Here is a 21810-nt window from a genome sequence, read left to right on the forward strand (position 1 = left end):
ATTCTTTTTCAAGAAACACAATTTAATTTTCCTGGAAGCGTGTAATAACTTAAGCTAAGTTAGTAAAGTAGTGTTAAGTAAAAGAGCTCAGTAACCCCATAATGAAAAAGAATGATTTTGAAAATAATATAAAAAACTTAATGTTCTTGAGTTGATTTTCTTAAGTATTTTATGGTTTCCTGTAGTTTTCATTCTACTATTTACTGCCAGGGAAAAAAAGGTTTGCTGAGCTCAAGTAAACAGCCTTATCTAACTTTTAAATTTATATAAATAAATGAAATTTTCCTGCTATTCAAAGTTTTTTATCAATGGTTGTTGCTTCTGAACATTATGATTATGAGGATTTCAAGTCATATAATTGGCGTCACCTTGTTACTTCCATTTTTCTGTGCTCTTAAGGACAGCTTTATAAAGGGAAGAGAAGTTTGTTCTTATTGATGTTCAATTTTTAGGTAGTTATGCTCCTTTAATGTTAGAAGATCCTGGACTCACTTGATTCAAATGTAGAAGTCTTTCCCATAGATATTGTTTTGATGGTTCATTAGAAAAACTTTCTTGGTAGTAGCTTTAGTCTCTTAAGTATTCTCTAATTTGAATTGTTGATTGTCATTATGTATTCTACTTGAGTTATTTATTGAGTTATTAAAATCACTAATTTGAAGTTACTGCTATTATAGGCATGTGTTTGTAGTTGATCCCCTTTTGGGGTCCTTTAGGCCTTTTGAAATAGTTTATTAATTCCTCACATATGATAAATGTTACAGTTCAACCCTAAAACATTAGTATAATTAAGAGTTAGCAGGTCGGTCACAGTGGCTCACGCCTGTAATCCCAGCACTTTGGGAGGCCGAGGCAGGCGGATCACGAGGTCAGGAGATCGAGACTATCCTGGTTAACACGGTGAAACCCCGTCTCTACTAAAAATACAAAAAATTAGCCAGGAGTGGTGGCGGGCGCCTGTAGTCCCAGCTACTCGGGAGGCTGAGGCAGAAGAATGGCATCAACCCGGGAGGAGGAGCTTGCAGTGAGCCGAGATCGCGCCACTGCACTCCGGCCTGGGCGAAAGAGCAAGACTCCGTCTTAAAAAAAAAAGTTAGCTGTATTTGTTCAATTCCAAACAATTCAGATGCAATACCAGCAGCTACTTTTCTACCTACTGCCAGATACTTAGACAAAATGTTCAGAGAATGTGGGGAGGTGTTGATCTCTTGAAAAGCACAATCAATTTCATGTTAGACTAGTAGGCCATTCAGCTGCTCTGTGTTCTATTTTGTACTAAAGTGACATTAAAGAATACTTACAGATGAATAGGTTTTCCTGCCAGTGCTGATGATCTCAAAGATAGAGCTGTGCTAGGAACTCTCTACATTCTGATTAGTAACAATTCTGTCAGAGATTGTCTCAGTGTTAGGTATCAGTAAGATGTTGGAACTTCAGTTAGGCCTTTAGATCATGTAGTCCATATATCCTTTCTGTAGCTACGGTAGGGTTTTCGGACACAGGCTCGCTCCCAAAAGTCAGTTATTGATGATAACTGTTGAGGTTTTGACTGTAATATGCTTCCTAGTTGAAATATAAATATTTGTACAAATGTGTATTTAGCATACCACACAACCAGTTTTGTGAAACAAAAGATAAACTAGTAAAGAGGACACCTTTTAAAAATAGTAGTTTATGTGTGTTAGTATATATCCATTTGCCAATATATTCATACTAGTAAAAATAGAAAAAAATACATTTGTTAACACCTTTTAATAGTGAGAGGTAGAAATCTTCCCCAACCAAAGGGTTATTTGATTTTTCTTCTCTACTTGTCTCTAATATTAAACAACTCTTCGTCTGTTTTAAATTTAGATATATAGGATTATTAAGATTCTTTTATAAATAATTACCTTCCTAAATTAGCATTTTCACAGCTACACTTTTAGAGTTATTTTTTAAAAAACAGGTATAAAGGTAGAATATTTACAAAAATTATTACATCATGCTTTGAACAAATACAGATCACATCTCTGGGCTATTTTGACTTTTAAAAATATCCTTTTTGAGCAAACATGCTGAAGTTGATTTAAAAGTAAGATTATTAATCCATAAACTATGAAAATAATCAAAATGAGAAAGAAGGGAAACTTTCCTTAACGTTAATAGAACTAGTCTTATTTTGTTTCCATTTTTCATTCTTACTTTAGTGCTTGTTTATCTGAGCATTGATATTTAATATAAAAGTTGTAGGTAAATCTGTGTCTGTAACATAGATGCCAGTTACTAAATTTTATTTGCTTATGAAATACTGTAGGTAGCAAGCTGTAAATTTTAAGTAGCAAAATTAAATTTGTTTGGAATATATGGAATTCCTCAAAAATGAAACGGAGAGAACCTACTTCTGTTCCTTAAACAACTGCTTATTCTCATGTCACATGAAATACATCTTCTATATCTCTTTGTGCCTCTGGCTTCTTTTCTGTAAAATGGGCTCAAGAATTTAATTGACTGCCTTCATCCCTTTCAAGAACATTTGACAGATACTTCGAAGTCTTTGGAAGACAAAATGCCACCTTGTGTATTTTTTGATACTAACTTGCCTTGTAAGTACACACTATGTATTGTACACAGTGGCGTGATGTGACATTGTGAACTTTTTTATGAGAACAGAAGTTGTTTGCATGCTTTGATGTTAAACTATAATTTTATTATTATTTTTTTATAATTTCTGAACATGATTCTTTCCTATATTGTCCCTCCCAACACCTCTGTGTTCTATACTGTTCCTGAATAAGAGGTGGGAGGAGGTGGGGTACTTAATGTTTTCTGGCAGTCTCTTAGAAATGTGCAAAGAAATTGTTGTACAGCTTGGTTAGGAATATATCCCTGGTCTGCAGTATATGGAGGAGCGCTTTAGCACCTTAGGAATAGACAAAAAGAGCCCTCTGTTTCCTCAGTTTTAGGTTTTCTTCCACAGGTTTATGCTGCCCTACATGCTGACTCATGGGTTGGAGAGTCAGGTAGAACTTTTTGTTTTTAATGTATAGAAAGTGCAGTTAAAGGACAGAGTCCCAATCTAGGATTTTGGAGACCTGGATTCTTGCCTGGTGCACTGCTCCTATACTAGTATTCACTTTATCCGGTTCTGGACTATTTCCCGTCTTTATGAATGAGGACACTGTGGTATGAGTGTCCTCATGAGTGAATGAGTGAAGAGGGATGTTCTTGCATTGAATGCCTAGATTGCATACAATTTTGAAACGGTGATTAAAAGTATGTATACAGCTACCTATAATTATTCATATGAAACTGTTAAAACTCATTATCATTTTCTTTATATTTGCATGTGGGGGTTAATTTTTACTGCCTAAGAACTTTGTTGCATAACTCCCAACATTATTAGTAAATGCTCATGGTTAAATTGCCCTGTCTCCTTTAAAGGATTTCTAAGTGCTGTTTGTTAAACTTTCTGTGATTAAAGTAATTCTTGTGAAGTATAAGGAAAGATGATAATTTTCATATCTGGTATTTGTGAAGTTTGGTAATTTTTAGTCTCGTAACGGTTTTTCTCTACCATGAGACTAAAAATTATTGGTGTTTTTGACAAAATTATTGTGTTTTTTTGACATCTTTTGTCATTCTTTTCCAGAGAATTCGGTCAACAGTGGATGAAAAAGAACAAAAACAACTTCTTATGGATTTGGATGTAGTAATGCGGAGTAGTGATTGCCCATACATTGTTCAGTTTTATGGTGCACTCTTCAGAGAGGTAGGAATAAACTGGGTTTTAGCTGACTAATGAATATCTAATTGGGACAAATGAAGATGGCAGGATTCGATTCTATTCTTAAATGCCATACATTAGTAATAAGTTAATATCTCAGTATCTTAGTGTTTAACCATGGTAATTTACATATTAACTTCTGACTCTTTTTGCGGTGGTGGGTAAGGGGTGAATCACACGTGTGTTTGTGTGTGTGTGTGTGTGTGTGTGTGTGTGTGTATTTTAGTATTGGTGGCTGTCATTTGTAAATCTCATACAAATATTTTCTGTTCTTTAAGAACCTGAAAAATCAGCTGACTTCTAAATATCAGCACTTTTGCTATAGTTTTAGATTTTCATTGGGCCTTGAGCAACGCCTCCCCCCCCCCCCCCCCCCCCCGCCGCCAACTTTATATTTTAACTTTTACTCATCTGTCATCAAGTGTATGTCTGCATTTAATATAAACACTTATGTGTCCCTGCCCATAATCCTGAAGTATACCCATCAGACATGGAAATTAACAATTACAATATAAATTATTTTTTTCTAATTCTCTTATCCAGATTTTTGTGTAGAAACTAAAGCTCTAATTTCTTGGTCTCATAATCATGTTTCTTCTTTTGGCCTCTGGTTATTTTGTGTCCCAACTTGGGTTATCATTTCTGCCTCCAGCTCTCAATCCACTTACTCATTTCCAGTCATCCAGCTGCCTAAAATGTGGAAGTGAGTTTGGGCTAGGGGTAGAACTGGAGCTGTAAATGAATTAATACATTATGATATCCTAGACCGCCATCAAAAATTGTGATACTTAGTTGAGTAGGACTTGAACTGAACTGCTAAGCATTTCAAATACTCTCTAAAAAAAATACCTTTCTCATTTTGCAAATGTTAGGATGAATAACCGAGTTGTTATAAACTGGTAAGAAAAACCCTCCTGCTCTCTTCTTTTTGGGATGGGATTATAGAGTGTATCCTTGGGGTTTTTGTTGTTATTGGCTTTAAAATTAATATATATTTTTGAAACAGGGCTGAATGTAGCACTGAGTAGAAGTATATGCAATCTTATAATTGGAAACAATGTTAGAGGTTAGTTAATTCTAAACCTAATTCTGAAGTTTTTGTTTGTTTTTCTGGGCTCTTACTAGGTAACTAGTAACAACACATTCTGCTTCATGACAGAGCCCATTTCTTTGTTGAATCACTAATTGTTAATTCTCAACTCGTAGTTTTTTTCTATTCCTGTCTTTAAATAATGAGAATATTCATTTTTATGACCAGATATACTGAATTTATTAATTTTCTTCCATCATTTCACATCAGCATTCCGTTACATCAGTATACAGTCATGTATTCATGTGCATGACTGTATCTTGGACCTAAATATTATGTAATGTTATTCTAAATGTTTGGAACTTTCTTCATGTTGCACAAGAATCTTACCATATCTTCCTCCCTTTATTCCCAACTATGAACTTTTCTTCACGATCATTAAATCATCACACCATATGCAGAACAATAGTTAATTAGTTAATTAGGGACTGAACTAGATTTTCTCTCCTAACTAGATTCTGTGGTCAACTTTTTCAGTGCTGTATTCGTTTTCATTATAGACTTTCCCCAGCTCTGCCTGAACCCTAAATCACCTCCATAGTGCTGGAATATACCAATTTATTTCATTTGTTCATTTATTTAATCATTCATGTACCATTTACACACCTAGCCTTGGGCTAGATAGTGTGGGAATCTGATTGTATGAAAAGAAAGCAGAGTAAGTCATATTCATGATTGACAAAGATGTGGAAACAAAGCACGGAAGCTTGGAGTGGTGTCTGAACAATATTCCCATGGTTTTGTTATCATGGATAGCTGAGTCACATTTGGTTTTATGTCTCAGAAAGGTTGAAGGGAGTTGACATATGCAGCTGTAAACACTAACGTCTGTTGAATGCTTTGTTGTTTTCACATATGTTTTCTTCCCAGTAATCTTCGGGATTTGGTGGTATTATCTATCCCCTTTTTCCAGATAGGAAAATGAAATTTAGTGTGTTTGACAAAAGTTACACAGCCAACAAGTAGCAGAGATGGGATTCCAGAGACAGAAATCTTGCTGTTCCTTCTATTTTATTAGAAGTGGTCCAGATATGAAGATATATATATGCTTTTTAAATAAGATTTTTGACAGGATAAGATGTGTGATAAGGTGAAGGCTTAGGAACTACACAGTTAAGCTGTACAAAGACACAAAATACCTAAGTAGATGAAACATGAACTTTCCTCCCAAATCAGAATGCAGTCTGTAATAGGTACTTTCTGAATAATAAGAGTTTTAGAAAAGCAGAAAGTAACAACTTTTACAATAGTATGTTTTACAATAAAAATATAGTTTTTCAATAGTTTTACAATAAAAGTGTAGTTTTACAATAAAAGTGTTACTTTTATTAGTCACCTTTAAAGAGTGAATAGTAAAAGTGTATTTCCCGAAGTTACAAAGGTTAAAAATATTAAAATGGCCGGGCACGGTGGCTCAAGCCTGTAATCCCAGCACTTCAGGAGGCCGAGGTGGGCGGATCACGAGGTCAGGAGCCCGAGACCAGCCTGGCCAATATGGTGACACTGCATCTTTATTAAAAATACAAAAATTAGCCAGGCGTGGTGGCACATGCCTGTAGTCCCGGCTACTTGGGAGGCTGAGGCAGAAGAATCGCTTGAATCCAGGAGGCGGAGGTTGCAGTGAGCCAAGATCATGCCGCTGCAGTCCAGCCTGGGCAACAGAGCGAGACTCCATCTCAAAAAAAAAAAAAAAGTATGTGTGTATGTATATATATATATATTTTCATATATATGTAAGTAATAAACAGATTGAATAAGACTTTAAAGAAACATTTTTGTTTTGCAGTTGATGACTTAAACATGCATCTTTTTTGGTGACATGACCTTCAGTTCCAATAATAGACACAAAATCTGAGTTCATGAAAGGAAATAGTAGAAATGAATGTATGTAGTCAGGACTTTTTAGCTTACCTTACTATCACTGTGAGAGAGACAGTGCTTTCAATTCCTGTTACTGTGAGACACCCTCCAGGGATTTCATTTCACCTAATTTATACAACCACTAGACTCAGCTCTTGGTTTGGTTCAGTCAGCCATCCATCAAGGAGCTTATGAGATGTTCCTTTTCTCATTCTTGCAGCAACTATTTATTTATTTAAATTTAAATGTTATTTAAATTTAAGGGGTACAAGTGCAGTTTTTTTATATGAATATATTGAGTAGTGGTACAGTTTGTGTTTTTAGTGTATCCATCACCCAAACAATGTAAATTGTACCCATCAAGTAATTTTTCATCATCCACCCCGTTCAACTCCTCCCTCCCTTCTGTGTCTCCAAGGTCTCCAGTTCCGTATTCTGTCCATGTGTGCACATGATTTAGCTCCCCCTTATAAGCGAGAACATGCAGTATTTGTCTTTCTGTTTCTGGTTTGTTTCACTAAAGATAATGGCCTCCAGTGTATCCGTGTTGCTACAAAAAAAAAAAAACATGATTTCATTCTTTTTTTAATGGCTGTCACTGTCTATTGTGTATATATGTCACATTTTTAAAAATGTGGACATTTAGGTTGATTCTGTGACTTTGCTATTATACATAGTGCTGCCATAAGCATACCAGTGCAGATACCTTTTTGATATAATGATTTATTTTTCTTTGGGTAGATACCCAGTAGTAGGATTGCTGGATCAAATGGTAGTTCCACTAATTAGAGATTAATCTTGCTGTTGGGTAATATTGAGCTTCTGAAAGTTCCGTCACTTATTCAAAGCAGTGAATAATCCTTAATACTGAAGTTGGTAACTTCTATGTTGCCACTATCTTCAACCATGCATACTTCTTTCTAGGATGGAACCAACCTCAAAAAGAAAAGTCCAAAGTACAGCTTGGATTTGGTTTAGATAAGTTATTAGGTCACTCAGTTGCACAGGTTCCTAAAAGTCATTTTCAGGCTTTGTAGGTAGGTGGAAAAAAGAGCTTGATAATAATTGAATAATGGAAGTAACTTTTAGCCTATATTTTACAAAAAAGACCTACCATTTATCTTAACAGTGCTGAAACCTAGTATCACTTAAAAATTTTTCTAATACATAAAATTTGAGAATTTCATAGCAGGTAAACTCTTATTTTAAACATCTTTTGAGGTTGGGCAATAAATTCTAGTGCAGAAAGCACTGTTCTGAGTAACTTGTGAATGTAGAAGTTCATCAGATTATAGAAGGCAGTGATGCTGGCTGAAGCAAGTTACCTCCCCCTTTTTTATCCTTACTTCCACCCCTCTTCTCCTTTCCCTCTTCTTTCTCCTTGCAAGTTTTAAATGCAGCTTATGGAGGTAAAATTGACATCTGATAAACTTCCCACATGTAAAGTGTACAGTTTGATATGTTTGAACAAATGTATACACCTGTAGAATTATCACCAAAATCAAGGTAATGAATATGCCCATCACTTACGAGTTTCCTTACACCACGTAGGTAATACCTGCCACCTCTCTGCTGTCCCCATTCTCAGATAACCACTGACCTGCTTTATGCCATTATAGATTAATTTGTATTTTTCTAGATTTTATGTAAACGGAATCTTACAGTATGTACTTCTCTTTTTCAGTTTGTCGTCTTTCATTCAGTATAATTATCTTGCATTTATCAGTCATTTATTTCTTTGTATTGCCAAGTACTATCTGTAATGTTCCATTATGCAGATCTATCAGTTTGTTACTCATTTACCTGTTGATGGCCATTTGGATTGTTTTCAGTTTTTGTCTGTTACTAATAAAGTTGCTTTGAGCATTTATGTACAATTGTTTGTACATAAGCTTTTATTTTCCTGGGGTAATTACATGGGGGTGGAATGGCTGGATCATATGGTAGGTGTATGTTTAACTTTTTAAAAAATGGACAAACTTTTTTCTAAGGTAGTTGTACCATTTTATACTTTCACCAGTAGTTTTTGAGAGTTCAGCTTCTTCCATGTCTATTCCAGCACTTAGTGTGATGTGTTGTGTTAATCTTTAGCCGTTCTAGTAAATGTGTGGTGGAATCTCTGTATTTTTAATTTGCATGTTTCTAATGACTAACAGTGTTGAATGTCTTTTCATGTGCTTATTTACCAACCGTATATCTTTGATGAAGTTCCTGTTAAAATCTGTTGTACATTTTTATTTAAATTGGGTTTTTTTGTTATTCGGTTTTGGGAGGTTTTTAAAAATGTGTTTTGAATACAAGTTTATTATCAGACCTATGATTTGCAGATACTGTCTCCTGTCTGCGCTTATCTTTATATATATCTATTCTTCACAGTGTTTTTGGAGAGCAAAAGTTTTTAATGTTGATATAGGCCAATTTTTAAATTTGTGTATTGTGCTTTTGATGTTGTGTATAAGAGCTCTTGTCTAACTCAAGCTCACTTAAGATTATCTCTTATGTATTCTCCTAGCAGTTTTATAGTTTTAGGTATCACATTTATACTTATCCATTTGGAGTTAGTTTTTATATATATCGAGAGTTATATATTGATGATTTTTTTTTGCATGTGGATATCCTTTGCACCTTTATCAGATATCAGTTGTCCATACAGATGTGTGTCTATTTCTGGAGTATCTGCTCTGTTCCATTGATCTGTTGTTTTTCTGTCTTTGCACTGATCTCACATGGTCTTGGACTACTCCAGCTTTATAGAAAGTCTTCAGATTTGAGAGTGTTGGTCCTTAAACTTTGTTCTTTTAAAAGTTGTTTCGGCTCTTTCATATCCTTTCTATTTTCATGTGGATTTTAGAATCCACTTGTCGATTTCTACCAAAAAACCCGAAAAAAACCAACAACAAAAAAACAACCTGCTGAAATTTTTATTGGGATTTTTCTAATTTGTAGGTCTACTGGGGGAGCATTGATATCTTAACAGTATTAAGTCTGTTGACCCTTTTTTGTGGCATCTCACTTTATTATTTTACATCTTCTTTAATTTTTCTCAGCAATATTTTATAGTTTTCGCTGTATAAGTCTTTCATGCTTTTGCTAGAGTTGCCCTTAAGTGTATAATATTTTTAATGCTAATACGTATTTTTAAATTTAATTTTCTCATGTGACTAAATGCACAAATATCATTTGATTTTTTTATATTGATCTTGTGTGCAGCAACCTTGCTAAACTCAAATTCCAGTAGCTTTTTTTACCTGCCTTCAGATTTACTACATAGATCATCATTTTGTCTGTGAATAAAGAGAGTTACTCCTTTCTTTCCCAATTAGTTCCTTTATTTATTTTTGTCTTGCCTTATTGCACTGGCTGGAACCTTCAGTATGCTGTTGAGTAGATACAGTGAGAGTAGACATCCTTGTTTTTTTTCCTGATCCTAGAGGGAAAGCATTCATGTTTCCTTCATTAAATATGATATTAGCTGTGGACTTTTCATATATATATATTTTTAATCAGGTTAAGGAAGTTTCTTTTTACTCCTAGTTTGCTGAGAGATTTTGTCAGGAATGGATGTTAGATTTTTGTCAAATTCTTTTTCCAGATCCTTGAGATGTTTTTGAGATGTATGGTTTGTTTGTTGTTTTAATAATGGTGAGTTATATGAATTGATCTCAGATATTAAACATAGCTTTTATTTCTGGGAGAAATCCAGTTGGTTAGGATGTTTTATCTTTTTTATCTATCATTGGATTCAATTTGTTAAATTACTAAAATTTAGCTAATTTGCTAAAATTCATTTAAAATTTTTGTATCTATGAGAGACATTGATGTATAGTTTTCTTTTCTTATTTTTGTCTGACTTGCATCATTGTAATGCTAGCCTCATAGGATGAGTTGGGAAGTATTTCTTCTTCCTGAATTTTCTGGAAGAATTTATATAGAATTGGTATTATTTTTTCTGTAAGTATTTGATGGAATTTACCAATGAAGCCACTTGAACTTGGCAATTTCTTTGTGAGAATATTTTTGACTGAATATCCAGCTTCTTTCAAAGATATAGTTCTATTCAAGTTACGTATTTCTTGTCGAGTGATCTTTGGTATTTGTTTCTTTGAAGAAATTTATCCCTTTCATCTAAATTATCAAATTTATTGGAATAAAATTATTCATAATATTTCTTTTTTATTATTTTAATATTGGTAGAGTCTGTAGTGTGTTACTTCTGTCTTCCCTGTCTCCCCCTCCCTCCCACTTGTTTCTGATACTGGTAATTTATGTCTTCTTTTTTTCTTCCCAATTAGTCCAGCTAGAGGTTTATCAATGTTATTGATGATCTCGATGAACCAGCTAGCTCTCAGTTAAATGATTTTCTTTTCTTTTCTTATCTTTAAAAAAAAAAAAAAAAAAAAGTCAGGGTCTTGCTCTGTGGCCCAGGCTGGAGTGCAGTGGCATCATCCTAGCTCAACCCAACCTTGAACTCCTGGGCTCAAGGGATCTTCCCACATCAGTCTCCTGAGTAGCTGGGACTACAGGCATGCACTACCACCACCCTGCTAATTGAATTTTTTTTTTTTTTTTTGGAGGTGGGGTCTCACTTTGTTGACCAGGCTAGTCTCAAACTCCTGGCCTCAAGCCATCCTCCCACCTTGGCCCCCTAAAGCATTGGAATTACAGGTGTGAGCCATGGCGTCTGGCCTCCGTTACATGATTTTCTGTATTGCTTTTCTATTATTATTTTTTTTGACGGGGAGCGGTGTTCGTTCTGATTGTGGTTTCTTCCTTTTACTTATTTTTGCTTAATTTGCTTTTTTTGTTTGTTTCTTAAGGTGGTCCATGTTCCTTTTAAACTGTGAAATTTTTTAAACATAGACTAAATTACAGAGGAGAAACAGCTACCCAAATCCTATATTGGCATATTTACTCTTTATATGTCTTCAAATATTATAAATAGAATTAAAGCCCTCATCACATTTCCCTTTCCAGATCTCATCACTACCCTGAGTGTTTCCTTTAACTTGTTTGTTTAGGTCATCCATATGTGCATTTTCCCCTACATTTTACATAATATCGCTTTATGTATTTTCACATTTAAGTAAATGGAATCCTATATGCGTTCTTTATTGTACATTTTATTCAACATAGTTTTATTCAACATAGTTTTCAAGATTTATGTAAATATAGATTCGTAATATACAGATTTAGTTAATTTATTTTAACTGTAGTATTCTAATGATTAAATACACCTTTTTATTTTATTTTTTTAGAAATAATCATAATGTAGATTGCTTCTCATTTTTTTATAATTATAAACAGCACAAAAATGAAGAATTGTTTTGCATGTCTCTTTGACAACTTAGGTTACAGATTATTTAGCATATGTCCCTGGAAATACAGTTACTAAATTTAATGATACAAATGTCTCCAACTGGAGTACCGACTTAAATTTCCACCAAAATTTCTATATCAATAATTGTATTTGGTATCAGCCATTCCTGACTGTTAGTAGCTTGCTTACTTTATAGTTTCAGTTGTTAAGGTTACCTCATGATCCACATTGGCTCCTAGAGTTCAGCTATCATGTCCACACGAAGGAAAAGAAAAGGGAAGAACTAAAAGGATTTTCCTGGAGTCACAAACCAGTGGTTTTGTGTTGATACCTCTTTGGCTGCCTTTCTATACTTTAAAGACTGGGAAATGTAGATTTTAGCCACATACATTGTACAGAGGAAAGGGGGAATGGTTATTTAGTATGCCATCAGCATTTACTGTCACAGATCTCCTTTTACCTGGTGTGTACTAACATTTGATAATAAACGTTTAATTTTTGGCAGTTTGAAATGGTATCTCACTTTTAAAATTGCATTTCCTTGATTGGTGAGATACAGAATTTTTTACATGTATTTAGGCTTTTTTTAAAAAAAAATTGCCTTTGATATAATTCTACTGAGTTTGGTCTTTCCCTAATTAGTTTAGCATAACTCTTTATTATTCAGGATACTGATCTTTTGTTTCTTTACATCCAAATAGATGTTTTTGTCTCTTATTTTTAAACTTTTGGTATGTTGTCCTTGTTTATACACAAGTGTTCATTATTATGGGGTTAAATTTAACAGGTCTTATCCTTTGTGATTTGTTGTTTTTATGTGTGTTCTTGGGAAAAATTTTTTTCCTATATAAAAGTCATGGAGAACTCTTAGAAAAAAAGTTTTAAACTTTTGCTTTTTGCAAAATCCATTTGGGAGTTTTTGTATATATATTTGTGAATGATTTAATGTCAGAATTTAATGTTTTTCTATATGGAAGGCCAGTTGTCCCAGCAGCATTCATTGAATAATGCATTCTTTTGCTATGATCTGCTTTGTTAACTTCTGTCATATATCAGATTTCTGTCTGTGCATGAACTTTTGCATCTGTTTCTTTGGTGTATTTATCTTTTATTTGTGATTGCTTCATAAAAAGTCTTTGTGTAGTAGGTCAGTATCTCTTCTTTAAAATTATCTTAGTTATTCTTGGCTCTACTTTAATATAAGCTTTAGGGTCAGCTTGTTCAGGTCCTTGAAAATTTTGATTAGAATTTAACTGAATTCTTAGATTAATTTGGGAGAATTTGACGTGCTTCTCATCTTGAATCTTCACATTTGTAATCATGGTCTGCTACTCCATTTGTTCAGGTTATTGTTATGTCCTTTAGTAACATTTTATATTTGTTTTCATAAAGGTTCTGCCTATTTTATTAGATACATTTCCTGGTGACTTAGTTTATATTTTTATTGAGAATGATATCTTTTTATTTTCGAATTAGTTATTGGTATATGTTATTGGTTATATACGGATCTTTAGGAACCCTTCCTTATGTTACCTTAGTAGTTGAGTTGTTCATCATTCTCCAGCTTTTTTTCCCCCAATAAACCCACATTTATTCACTTCTTCTGCATTTCAGACCTGTGGTCATCCTGTTTTCTGCTTGAGCATGACAGTCATGCTGCTGTCACTACCTTTTTCAGGCAGCTCAGAGCATTTCATTTTTTAAATGCAGCTCATTGCCATTGTGTTGTTTGTATGACCAAAAGGAACTGTCAGAGAGATAAGAAGGTTACATTAGGTTATGTTCCTTAAAAATCACAAAGACCTCTCTATCTCATTGCTCTTTTCTGTCCCCCCTTCTCATCTTCAGTTCTCGGTTTACTTGTTACCTTTATTCTCCCACTCCCATGTCCATCTTTCTCTTTTATTTGCCCACATTTCCCTTCCTTCTCCCTTCCATTTGGTAACTATAGTTTTTAGCACCTGCCAGGCACTTTAGTTTGTGCTTTGCATATGTTAACTCATTTGCCCTTTATCACAGTCCACTGAGGATGGTGGGGCAGTCTCATTTCATAGCTGAGGATGCGAGGAGGCCCAAGCTTATATAAGTAGAAAGTAGGAGAGCTTGGATAATGTCAGGCTTTTCAGACTCCTAATGTCATTTTTTTTTCCGCTTTGCTATATTATTGAGGTTGTTTCTTTCTACTGTTTTTATAAGTGGATGAAGTAAATGTGCTGTATGTCTCTAATAAGATTTTTTAGTAAACCTATTTAGATAGTGTCTCTAAAATAAAGCTGTGTCTGTTTTGGGTGGAGGGTGTTACTCGATCTTTCATGATAGCCATTCTCATAGATCACTCTAAAGAAAAAGAGATTTACAGAGAGAAGAAAGATTTAAATGCAGAAATAATAAGTAAAATTTACTACGTCAAATATGCTTTACAAAAACATTATGTATAGCCATGTATCTGTGAATGTTCTAGAAAGTGGTCCTTTTGTAAGAGTGCATGGCAAACGTTGATAGAAGAAACACATTAGGGACAGTGGATTCTATTCATGGGTAGTGTATTGTTCTGGGCAAGTAATTTTACTTTTAACAGGCATTAATCTCCTATATAATCCAAGGATAGGATTGATTATATAATTATTATATAATCGAAGGATAGGAGATTAATGGGTAGAAAATCTTTGATGATACAGCTGTATTTATAAATAAGTAACAACATACAGAACTGTATAATTTTTTAAAAATCATTTTGATAGTATTTTCATTTTTGTAAGGTACTTTGTAGTTCTTGTTCATCTGTGTATCCTGTACTTTTACAGTTATAATCATGGTATCTACTTTTATTTTTTATTTTTTCATGACTCATGCATCTCTCTCATGAACTGTATTCATTTTCAAAAAAATTGATTTTAGATAATCTCTTTAATGTTGTTGTATTCCCTTTTGTGAGATAGTTCCTCGGTTTCTAGTTTTGTTTTGTTTTTTCTTTTTGTAATTTATGGAACATTTAAGTTACATTCCCAGTCATAGGATGATTCTATAAAATGGTATCAACACATTTATTTCTGTTTTATTGTCAAATTGCTTTCAAATTGGTTTAAAACAATCTATAATGCAAGAAATGTTTGAATGATTCAGTTTAATTATAGCCAGCATCCAGTCATTTAACAAGTATTTATTGAGTCTTTGTTCTGGCAGAGGTTACATTCTAGTAGGGAATATATGAGACAAACATAATAAATAAGTAAATTACACTTTATATTAGAGGATGATGAAGGCTTTACAGAACAGAGCAGGATAAGGGAGTGCCTGATGGGATGACTTGCGCTTTGCATCAGTTAAAGTAGGCCTCACTGAGAAGGTGGCATTTGTACGGGGTCTTGAGGCATGGGATTTACTTTATGTATTTTTGTCTTTTTCCTTTTTTTTTTTTTTTTTTTGGCTAATTTAAGAAGTTTATGTAGTCTCTTAAGATTACTGTCATCTATTTTCATTGTTAGTAAGAATGGTTTTCTACACATTTCCTATTTTTTTTTCTATTTTGGCAAAATTTGAAATTTTAATGAAAGCACAGAAGTTTTCTGTGTAAGCCTGTCCCTGTCCATACAATTAAAGAGTGGGGAAAATTGGCTTTAACTACATTGTTTATGTTTAAACCTGAGTAGAATATTCTGTTGAAGGCTTTAACAAGAAAACAAAAATTATTACTAGTTTGACATTTGAAATAAGCAAGAATAAGATTGCTCCTTTCTATTGTATTTCCATTTTAAGTAAAGGCAAGGTGATATTTAAGATGTATAAGAATAACAGATATTTGTTATTTTATAGGGTGACTGTTGGATCTGTATGGAACTCATGTCTACCTCGTTTGATAAGTTTTACAAATATGTATATAGTGTATTAGATGATGTTATTCCAGAAGAAATTTTAGGCAAAATCACTTTAGCAGTAAGTACCTGGTCTTTAAATTATTCATTGTGTATATAGTTATATAGAGATGCTGCTGGAGTTTTGAATGCACATATTTGAGTGTCACTCACAGTACCTTCCTGAAAATAATTCATAGTTAATAACCAGAGACAAAGTCACTTCTGTGGGGTAGTTAACACAATAGGTCATAATGGTCTCGATAAATACTGCCAATGTTCTTTCCCTTTGAATCTCAATGAGTCATAACAGACTGTTCTGTAAATAAAGCTAGGAAAAGCAATTTTCTGTTCATTTTTTCCTGTTGCTTTAACTATTTTTAAATAGGTTATATTACCACAGTTATCCTGAAATTAATCAGAATCACAGCAGTCTCCTTGAAGCCCCATAATTGAAGCCCTTGGACAAAGTTTGTTTACTGTGATTTAAGATTTTGGTTACTCCATAATTGAAGCCCTTGGACAAAGTATGTTTACTGTGATTTAAGATTTTGGTTATTCAGTCTAAACTATTTAAAATTTTGACTAGCAGTTTCAGGGGCCAGTGTTACTACTAAATTTGGTTAACTCACTTTTACCAGAGTACCAAAAAAGAAAATAGCTACTTTTTTACATATGTGTTTATAGTTTTGAAAGTGAATTGATCACTTTGTTTCTTGCTCTGAATCTTAATTTTTTTTCCTAAAGGAAAAAGATAATTTACTTTTTATAGAGCAAAATTCATAAGATTCTTAGAAACTCCTGAGAATCTGAGCTAATGGCATGTTCTAGGTTAGTTGATATATAAACTAAATCATACAGGAAATTGTAAAATAGATACTTTGGTTGCATGTAATTTCCTAGCTCTTCCTTACCTGCATACTCCCCCTCCAATGTAGTTCACCAAGATATATACTCTTTCAAATAATTTCATAAAAAGATTTTATGAAATCATTTTATTTTTAAATTTTATAAAAATAATTGTATAAAAAGAAGCTAACTTAGACTAGAAACTTATTATTTAGCGGGGTATATGAAATTTTACAATGATTAGTTTAGCCATCTCTCTCTAATATATTAAACCCGTGTTATCTTGAAACTTACTATTTGTAATAATTATAATAATAGAAAAATGATAATAGCTAATGGTTATTAAATGCTTATTTGCATCAAACTATTTGTGACATTAAATCTTCATAGTAACTCTCTGTGGTAAATAGTGTTACCTCATTTTTATGAATGATAAATCTGAAGCATAGACAGATTAAATAATTAATATGCTTTGAAGTGTGTAAGTGGTAAATAATCTAAATCCAGGCAGCCTGATCCCAGAACCCTGCTCTTAACCGCTGTATAACAGGGTGACCATGAAATTAGAAAACAGAAAATTATTTTATCATATATTGCAATATAAAGAATATATACTGTAAAAAATGATTTATTCCATATTTGCCTAAGTCAAGACTTGGTGATCACTTTATATATATTAAGCACACATGTAAAATACTTTGTATTTAGTCTCTTCTTGCTAATTAATAAACCAGCAAACAAGCATAGCTATTCACAACAAATTTATGTGTTCTACATTTCTTGTACCTAGCAGCTTGACGTCAGCAAAGACGTCACCTTACAGCAAATAGTTGGCCTGTTGTTTAGTTCTCTTTTAGTTTGAGGTTGTGTCTCTTTTCCTTCCCTTCCTGAAGAAATGTGTAATTTTCTGATCATGATCAGTGACCAGGCAACAGGATAAATTCCCACAGTGGTGAACAGAGTTTACACTAGCTCTTCAAACATCACCTTGAAGGCTTAGCATCCAATGAGGGTGGATGATGATGAGGAACTGAGAGTTTAGAAAACTTTTTTATTTACTACTGGACTTAGAAATTGAAATCGATTTTGCTGCAAGTTATTACTCTTAGTTGAAATGGAACCAACTCAGTGATCATTGTTGTCCTGTTTTTATTTTTGAACATTTTAGAGGCCAGGCACAATGGTTCATGCCTGTAATCCCAGCAGTTTGAGAGGCCGAGGCAGAAGGATCGCTTGAGCCCAGGAATTTGAGATCAGCTTGGGCAACATAGTGAGAACCCTGTCCATACTAAAGATGTAAAAAGTTAGCCAGGCATGCATCTGTAGTCCCAGCTACTTGGCAGGCTGTGGTGGGAGCGAGACCCAGTCTCAAAATAAAAAGGGAAAAAAAAAAAGGAAATTTTAGGTTGGAGATAGGAAAAAAGATAAAATTTTAAATGAATTATTAAACAAATTATAAGTCTAAGTTACTGGGTTTTTTGTTTGTTTGAGCTATCAGGGAACAGCATATAAAGGCAACTAAGCTTTTAGATCTAAAATTATTCAGTATCTTTGGTTAACAAGAAATGACAAAATATTGAAATATTAAGCTTAAAATGTATGCAGAGGACTACACGGGATATTACTTGTGATAAACTGTTGTGCTGTTTGAATAAAAAGAAACAAGTTGTTTATCCCATCTCTCCTTTTTCTCCCTAGACTGTGAAAGCACTAAACCACTTAAAAGAAAACTTGAAAATTATTCACAGAGGTGGGTATGGATTGGTATTTTTTGTAATAGAAATTAACTTTTTTCTCCTAATTGGTGAAACGGTTATTGAAAATTACAGTGTCACTGTATAAACTTTCCTAAAATATTTGTATTTTTAGCAAAAAATGCTTTATGTACTTTAAAACTCTATTACTGCTATTTTTTTCTTTGGGATTCAATAAATTTCAGTCTATCTTAGTATGTTGGACTTAGAAACTGAAATAGATTTTGCTGCACATTGTTATTAGTTGAAAAATAATTATTCATTTGCCTGATAGATAATGTTTTTCTGCATACAAATAAGGCATCGAGGTGGTCCTGTGGACATTCAAAGAAGAATCTGAGGGATAGTACCCTCAAGCATTTTAAAGGCATGCTATCCCTGTCTGTTGTTTCTTCTTCACATTAGAGGATGTTTCTAAATTGAGAGAAATCTTTTAATTAGTATTATAAGTTGAAATTTCTCTAAAGCATGTTGTATTTGTGTAAACAGTGATCTTGCCTTTATTAGATACATATTCAAATGAAGCATTTGATGTAGTTGAAGGCCAGACCTAGAAAAGTAGTAACCCTGTGGGAATCCTGAATTTAATCTGGCAAATAGATGAAGTGCTTGCTTTACTTATTACTGTGCTAGACTCAGGGTAATGAGGTGCTGGCTTTGAGGAAACACACCGAATCACTACCCCTCAGCAAATTTGTAACGGAAAAACCTGACAGTAAGTGGCAGTGTGTGATTTAGCCTGACAGTAAATAGGAAGGAAAGTAAAGGGTCAAAATGAAGAGAAGTGAAAAATTTCTAATTCTGGGAGACAATTTCTAGTGGTTAAAGAAATTAGTAATTGGGCCATTTATTTAAGTTCTTTTGTTTGTGGTTGACACTAGGCCACTGAAATTAGTGAACCTTGAACATCAGTAAATTTTATTTAATTTTGTTTGGCTTAATGCTTGTTAGAAATAATATCTTTTTTTCTTTTGGCCTAAAATTATGTAGAGTTAGGTCCCTAAACAAAATTCTTTGTTTCTCTTGTATTTCTTCTTGTTCTTGTCTTGATTTTTTTTTTTTTCCCTTCTTTGTTAGCTGTGTTCTATAATTATGAGAGTAGCACCTTTGAGGCATTTGATAGTTACCTTAGGGATATTTACTGATCACAGTAAAGCACCAAGGTACTGCCTGGGGAGTAGTTGAATAAAATAAAAAAACTTCAGAAGTAACTTTTATTGTTCTCTTACTAAATGAAGTGATGAGTTTATAGCCATCTTTTATCAGTTAGGATCAGTTAGCTTTTTTGTTGGAGTCAGTGCTTTTGATTACAAGTAATAGAAAATCCTGATAACTCTCTTTAAACTTCAGGGAAATTCATTATCTGTCATAATTAGTCCAAAGATGGGGTGGCTCAAAGCACAATATGCTCCTCTTCCTTCTGTCCTCCTTCATGTGTTAACTCTGTCCTCAGGGTAGTAACAACTAGAGCAGTTCCCACTATCATGTCTATATGTGGCTGCCTCGTGAAGAAGAGGTGCTCTCGTGCTGTGCAGCTCTGTAGGGAGTATGGAAACTTTTCCCACGTCTCTAATACCTTTTCTTGGCTCATTCACCAGAAGTGCCTCATGCCCTTAAACCAGCTACTATCAAGAAGCATGAGACTACCCTTATAAAACTTATACCAGCCAACAGCCAGGTTTTCGAGGTGTGGATGTTGATGAGAAGAGATACTTCAATAAAACACAGGTTCTGTTAGAAAGTATGGATGGGGCTGGGTGTGGTGGCTGACACCTGTAATCCCAGCACTTTGGAGACCAAGGCAGCTGGATCACTTGAGGTCAGAAGTTCGAGACCAGCCTAGCCAACATGGTGAAACCCCATCTCTACTAAAAATACAAAAATTAGCCAGGTGTGGTGGCGCATGCCTGTAATCCCAGCTACTTGGGAGGCTGAAGCAGAAGAATCGATTGAACTTGGGAGGCGGAGGTTGCAGTGAGTGGGGATTGCACCACTGCATTCCAGCCTGGGTAAAAAAGAGCGAGACTCTTGTCTCAAAAAAAAAAAAAAAAAAAAGCATGGATGGTTAGGAATGGATGTTTGATAGGCCCACAGCTGTTTCGGTCATGGTAAGAGATCTTTACTGAATTTTTTTGTGGATCACCTTCTGAGTTACATTTAGATGTTTTCTGCATCCTATATTTTAAAACCTTATTTTTTATTCATTGAGCCAGGATAGTGACAAGGACATGGATAAAAGGACTGAGCTATGGATAGAGAATTAGTTGGCACATACTGGTAGTGACTTGATTGTCAATGAGAAAGGGATTTGACATTCCTTATATTTTGACTGTTATGTAATGAATCTGGACTAAGTAAATGAATTTGTAAGCCTCTTGAAAACAATTTAATGCCTAAATTTCTTGTGAAAATTTTTTTTGATATTCAGTTTTTAAGCACTGGCATTCAGAAAATTGTTTTCCTTTCTCATTTTCAATAGAAGAAAACCATTGTTTTTTCTGTGTTTTATAAATATGAAGATGTTAAGAGAAAAATCAATCCCCATCTATATCTTACAGATTAATGTTTGTGAAATGACTTTTGCTGTTACATTTACACAATTATAGTTATTAAAGCTACATGTTTAAAACATGAATAATTATTGTATGTGATAAATGAAGATGTTTTACTTCTTATATATCTGAATTTAAGGACTTGACCACTTATGTTGTCTAAGGTTTTTCAATATTTTTGCTTAAAGTGAAGCCTTATGTAACTTAGGAAGAAGCTAATTGTATACTGAATGATATCTATGTCTTGCAGATATCAAACCTTCCAATATTCTTCTGGACAGAAGTGGAAATATTAAGCTCTGTGACTTCGGCATCAGTGGACAGCTTGTGGACTCTATTGCCAAGACAAGAGATGCTGGCTGTAGGCCATACATGGCAGTAAGTGTTAAGTCCAGGCCTTCTTGCTTGATAGTCATTGCACAGAGAGCCTGTGCTCTTTTGTGCTGGCCATTAGTCATACGGTTTTACCATGAAACTGCTAGAATATTTCCCTTACCCTAAGGCCCAAGCTCAGGTCCTAGCCTCTCCATGAAACTTTGCTAAATTATCCCAGTCAGCTCCTGTTTTCATTGTCTTGCTTTATTTCTCTTACTTGGTATTTAGCAGTTGTGGTCTTCTCTGATTATTGTTTTTTCATTATATTGAACTCAACTCATTAAACAGATGGTAACTTCTCAGAAAGTTCCCACCGTCCCTTAGTGAGACAAATGGGAAGCCTTGAGTTCATTAGCAGAATTCACTATGTATTACAGAGTCTGAAGCTGCATATTT

General features: G+C 34.0%; 1 protein-coding gene across 6 annotated transcripts in view; it reads left to right on the forward strand.

The window, feature by feature from the left end:
• Nucleotides 1-21810, forward strand: part of MAP2K4 (mitogen-activated protein kinase kinase 4) — a 122952-nt gene that overhangs the window by 71067 nt on the left and 30075 nt on the right. For all 6 annotated transcript variants that reach the window (XR_007065381.1, XR_007065382.1, NM_001281435.2 and 3 more), the window contains 4 exons: nucleotides 3632-3751; nucleotides 15847-15966; nucleotides 18432-18483; nucleotides 21290-21417. Coding sequence is in view for 4 of the 6 variants with exons in the window: in NM_001281435.2 (NP_001268364.1) it covers nucleotides 3632-3751; nucleotides 15847-15966; nucleotides 18432-18483; nucleotides 21290-21417 (420 nt within the window). In the remaining 2 variants the exon portion in view is untranslated. The remainder of the gene's footprint in view (nucleotides 1-3631; nucleotides 3752-15846; nucleotides 15967-18431; nucleotides 18484-21289; nucleotides 21418-21810) is intronic.

This window comes from Homo sapiens, chromosome 17 (assembly GCF_000001405.40).
Source record: "Homo sapiens chromosome 17, GRCh38.p14 Primary Assembly".
NCBI lineage: Eukaryota > Metazoa > Chordata > Mammalia > Primates > Hominidae > Homo > Homo sapiens.